Genomic DNA, 6,000 nt, shown 5'->3' with positions numbered 1-6,000 from the left:
TTATGGACTAAGATTCTTAAATGTTCATTTAAAAGCGTATTTAAAAGAGTTGTATAGACTTGTAGGCAGCCCCCTGTTGGAGTCTGCGGTCTCCCTTTTGTGTTGTTAGAGGTATTTCAGAGGGACATTTGAGAAATATTGACTTGGACCGTCTTTTTTGCCCTCACACAGGCCACTCATGGGGCAGAGCTTGGCAAACTGCAGTCAGTCCACAGAACCCACTGCCTGTTTCTGTATGACTTTTGAGTGAAGAAGTATTTGCCTTTTCTTTTTTATTTTTAATTGTGGTTAAAAAAAATCAAATTTACCGTCCTATTTTTAAGTGTATAATTAATTCTGTAGCGTTAAGTAGATTCATGTGGTTGTGAAGCTCACCTCCAGAATTTTTTCATCTTATGAAACTGAAACTCTATCCCCATTAAACACGAGCCCCCATCTTTCCCTTCCCCAGCCCTTGGCAACCATCATTCTACTTTTTGTTTCTATGAGTTTGACTAGATACTTTGCATAAATGGAATTGTACAATATTTATCTTTTTGTGACTGGCTTATTTCACTTAGCATAATGTCCTCAGTGATCATCCGTATTGATCATGCGACAGGATTTCCTTTCTTTTTATTTTATTATGATTATTATTATTATTATTGAGACAGGGTCTTGCTCTGTCACCCAGGCAGTACTGCAGTGGCATGATCACAGCTCACTGCAGCCTCGACCTCCCAGGCTCAAGTGATCGTCCCTCCTCCACCTCCCAAGTAAATGGGACTACAGGTGCCCACCACCACACCTGGCTAATTTTTTATTTTTTGTAGAGATGGCATCTTGCTATGTTGCCCAGGCTGGTCTTGAACTCTTAGACACAAGCAATCCTCCCACCTCATCCTCCCTAAGTGCTGGGATTACAGGCATGAGCCACTGCACCTGGCCTTCCTTCCTTTTTAGAACTAGATACTATCCCATTGTTTGTGCATACCACATTTTATTTATCCATTCATTTGTTTTGGACATTTGGGTTGCTTCTACCTCTTGGCCATTGTGAGTAATAAGAATCTACATTTTTAAATGTTTGAAAACAAGCCAAAAGAAGGATAATATTTTGTAACATGTGAAAATTATGTGAAATCCAAATTTAGTGTCCCTAAGTAAAGTTTTATTGGAACACAGCCACATTCATTTATTTACATATTGTCTAACACTGTTTTTGCACTATAACAGCATGCTTGAGTAGTTGTGACAGAGACCATATGGCCCATAAAGCTGAAGATATTTACTTTCTGGCTCTTTATAGAAAAAGTTTGTCAACTGCTGGTGTAGGCAAAAGAGATTCTGTGCTGTTTTTTGGTTTGGATTTTTAACTGCATTTTCTTTCTCATTCCAGACAAGGCCCTTGCTTGCCACATCACGTAAAAATCTTACGTGTCTTTAATGCACTTCACGTCCAGGAACCTCAGCTTCAAAGAAAACCAAACGCTCATGCTTCATTTAATTCCCCTTATTCGGTCTTCCAAAGAGGTGGAGAATAGCTGGTGCTCACTGTCCCAGACACTGAGATGGCATTTCAAGATTTTCTCTGCAATCTGGTCTCTGAACAGACTTGAGCCTTTGTCTGCTGGTTCCCAACCCTGGTTACACATCAGAACCATGTGCTCCAGGACCTCACCTCTTGGAGTCTGAGGTTGAGCCCAGGAAACTCTATGTCTCCATATTTCCATCCAGACACCCTCTCTCTTCATGAAACCCTTGTAAATGTCTTACTCATTCTTTAGACATGGCTTAAACCTCAGCTCCTCCAAGAAGTCTTCCAAGATTCACCAGATGAAATGTATGGCCCATTTCTCCTACATCCCCCACAGAACCGTGTTTGAACTTTACAGCTTAGACTTATTTCTATGACTCGCTCCACTATGCATTCCCGTCTCTATATCCCTAACACCTGCCAAGAAAGTGCTAAAAATTTTTGTTGAATCAATCAGTCCATAATAGAAGAAATGATGTAAAATACAGTTTTGTAAATGATGTTATACCATACTAATTGAGATATGTGAACAATCATGAAGAAGAAGAATTAATGACATTCGGGGGGAATTAAAACTGATTCCAAGCTTCAGAGTTTTAAATTTAAAAAATGATCGAAATTCAGTAACACCCTGTACCCTCACACCCACCCTGAATCCACATCGTACCTTTAGAAAGGAAGGGAGGGTAAATATGTAGTGGTAAAGTGTCACAACTCCTGAAACGGTGAGACATTGCCATAGTTTTCAGGATGAATACAAATGAGAATGTGTACCAACCAGCTGCCGGTCAAAATCACTTCGTACATGCTATAAATCTGACATGCTCAGAAAGGTACAAATGGTCTTTGGCCCTTTCCCTTTCAATGATGCCCAGAGTTCCTGTGCAAACAACTGTTTTGGATTTTAAACGTGTAGATCAAGAAAATCAAGTATTTTATCTTTTGTTTTGATCCTAGAAGGTGTTGGACAAGGCTTTGTAGGAAACTGCAGTCTTTTTTTTTTTTAAATCGGGCAGCATCAGACAGTTACAGGAAGCTCAGGAAATACTGTGAAGGGCAGGATGTCACGCTGTGCATTGATGGCAAAGATGGGGAAGAGGTGGTCGGGCCTTTCAAGACCAACTCCTTAAGGGTGGAAAAAGCTAAGTCATTGGAGATTCATGATCACATTTTTTAAAAATCCCTAAAAATAATTTGAGAGCAGCAAAGGGAAGACCAGGACCATGACACTAAGTGCAAGGATGATTGTAGAGTAGGGTCTTCAGAACAAGTAGAAGCTCCAAGGCACAAGCGTAAAATTCCTTCTCCTCAAGAATCTATTTGCATGGGTTGATAGGCTTTGTCTGGGAAGGCTGGAGCCAAAGGGGAGTTGCGGTAAAAAATCAAGAAAAAGAAGCTGTTTCCTGTGAAACTTCAGGAAATTCTGAACACAGGCATGTCTTCCCTTTGGGGGCCAGCACAGAGATGAAGAGGGCATTTTCTCCACATTGGCATGGAACCTGATGGTCCCTGCAGGCATGAGGGGGGGCCCCAAATGAGGAAGCCAGAAAGCACAGAATATGAACAAACATGTTCTGGAAATGTAGGATTCCCCAGCCCCCTGACCCCTTATTCCCTCCTGTCTCTGTCTGGAGGCATTTCCAGTAGGAACGGCAGAGGTAGGTTCTCTAACTGGCAAGTTTAGGAGAAGAAACTGGCATGCTTGGCTCAGCTTCCTCCTCTCTCCTCTTTCGGAGCCAGCTTGTCTCAGGAACACATGGTCTCAGTTCTCCCTGCTAGGGGGATGCCTGCAGTCTTTTGGCTTAGCCTAGGTAGGCAAACTCGGTCTTGGGGGCAAAATGACAAACGAACCCATTGTGCCTGCAGTTGGAAGGGTATCATCCAATTTAGCTTTTGTCTCATAAGACTATCATTTTGATCTCCATCAGTCTGGCTCCTGGGTATACCTCTCAATTGATTCTGAAATTGGACAGGGAAGAGGGAAACCATTTATTGGGCTCCTAAAACCCCAGCCAGGTCGTGTGAGACCCCACCTTGGCACTCTTGAGAAACAACTGGAGAAGAGTGTTGATGGTAAGGAGTGGGTATTGAATTTCCATATGAGCAGGGAGAGATTGAACAATGTCCTAACTGGGGCATCTGTGGTCTTAGGGCCTCATGTGTACCCACAGGCCGATTTAGCTACCAATGTAACCCAAGATGGGAGAGAAGAGAAACGCTGTTCTGCAGGCTGTTTTTGGGAGCCATACATGGTGGTTTGGAGGTAAAATCTGTCATGCTATTGAATTCGCTTTAAATTGAGTGACTTCTGTAGGCCACTGTGAGGGTACTGAGGTTAGAAGCAGGTACTGGGGTGAAAGGAAAAGAAGCATCCTCTCCCTGGAAGCATCTCTTCCTGGAAGCATCATGACACTGGATACTCTTAGGAGGGTGAGACTTGGTAATCCACTCATACCCCTTTCTCTCCACAGCAATACACATTTCTTGAATAAATGCCATGGATACTTAAGGAGAAAAAATAATTATTAGAAAATACATATAATGCCACAGTCTAAAAAAGTGCCATTAAATAGATTAAGCCATTGATCCCTGATATTATTAATCCCGTTTTATGTTTGATACAAGTGACGAACAGAGATGTTAAGAGATTTATGGGCTCAAGGTCACACGGTTAACAAGTGATGGAGTTGGAACTAAAATCCAGGTTTTCTGATCTAAATCCAAATCCTTTCCGCTATTCTTTGCTGTATGACAATAGAGGACCACAAGAAAATAAAGAGAAGCACTCAGAAAGCAGAGTCAGGGAAACTGGATCGGACTCCTGGTTCTACCATGAACTTGAATCACCTGAGATTCAGCCTCTTTGCCTATAAAACTGTGTGCTGAGGGCTTGGACTAGAGTGTGTCTAAGACTCTGACATGCTGAGAAGGTCCTGGGTGGTTCTCTGCTTTAGGTCGCTGTCTTAGTCTGTTGGGGCTGCTATCACAAAATACCATAAACTGGGTGGCTTAATTCAACACCAGACATTTGTTTCTTATGGTTCTGGAGTCTAGGAAGTCCAAGATCAAGGTGCTGACAGACTTGGTGTCTGGTGGAGGCCCAATTTCTGGTTCATAGATGGCACCTTCCTGCTGTGTCCTCACACGGCAGAAGGAGTGAGGGGTCTAGGCCCCTTTCCTAAGGTACTAACCCCATTCATGAGGGCTTTATTCTCATAACCTAATCACCCCTGAAAACCTCTCTCCCAATACCATCACCTTGGGGGTTAGAATTTCAACATATGAATTTTTGGGGAACACAAACATTCAGATGCCAGTGTGTTCAGAGTTGGTTCCTACCAGTGGGTTCGTGGTCTCGCTGACTTCAAGAATGAAGCTGCGGACCTTCGCAGTGAGTGTTATAGCTCTTAAAGGTGGCATGGACCCAAAGAGTGAGCAGCAGGAAGATTTATTGTAAAGAGTGACAGAACAAAGCTTCCACAGTGTGGGAGGGGACCCTAGTGGGTTGCCGCTGCTGGCTGAGGTGGCTAGCTTTTATTCCCTTATTTGTCCCCTCCCACATTCAGTTTTTGTCCTATCAGAGTGCCAGAGTGCCCTTTTTTCAATCCTGCCTGCAACTGACTACCTTTAAGATCCTGCTGATTGGTGTGTTTTACAGAGCGCTGATTGGTGCATTTTACAGAGTGCTGACTGGTGCATTTTACAATCCTCTTGCTAGCTACGGAGTGCTGATTGGTGCATTTTTACAGAGCACAGATTGGTGCATTTTACAATCCTGCTGTAAGACAGAAAAGTTCTCCAAGTCTCCACTGGACCCAGGAAGTCCAGCTGGCTTCACCTCTCAATAGTAGTCACCTCCTGTCACAGTTATTCATAGCAGTTCTGCTTAGGAAGCACGTGGTCACAGAATAGGCTTTGCAGAAGGCTGGGGCATTTTAATCAGCCATCTACAGCAGTGGATTGAAAAGGTTATCTGCAACTCACAGTAGGAAATGAAGTTTACATCTAAACCCAATGCACACATATGTGGAACTGGAACAAGTTACACAAAATAATAGTTTGGTTTTTTTGTTTTGTTTTGTTTTGTTTTTTACTCTTTTGTGTTGTTTTTTTGAGAGAGGGTCTCACTCTGTCACAGTGCAGAGTGAGTTTAGTGGCTCGATCTCGGCTCACTACAGCCTCGAACTCCTAGGCTCAAGCAATGCTCCTGCTTCAGCCTCCCAAGTAGCTGGGACTACAGGCATGTGCCATCATGCTCAGCTAATATATTTTTTAAAAATAGAGACGAGGTATCGCTATGTTGCCCAGGCTGGCCGTGAACTCCTGGGCTCAGACAATCCTTGCGCCTTGGCCTCCCAGAGTGCTGGGATTACAGGTGCACTAAGCCACTGCAATCAGCCATTTCCTTTTTTTTTTTTTTTTGAAACATATACTATGTGTTTTATTAGTTAAAACAAACAAACAAAAAACAACTAATATTAAGA

This window comes from Homo sapiens, chromosome 12, assembly GCF_000001405.40.
Source record: "Homo sapiens chromosome 12, GRCh38.p14 Primary Assembly".
NCBI classification, from domain to species: domain Eukaryota; kingdom Metazoa; phylum Chordata; class Mammalia; order Primates; family Hominidae; genus Homo; species Homo sapiens.
Note: the sequence above shows the minus strand (reverse complement) of the source record.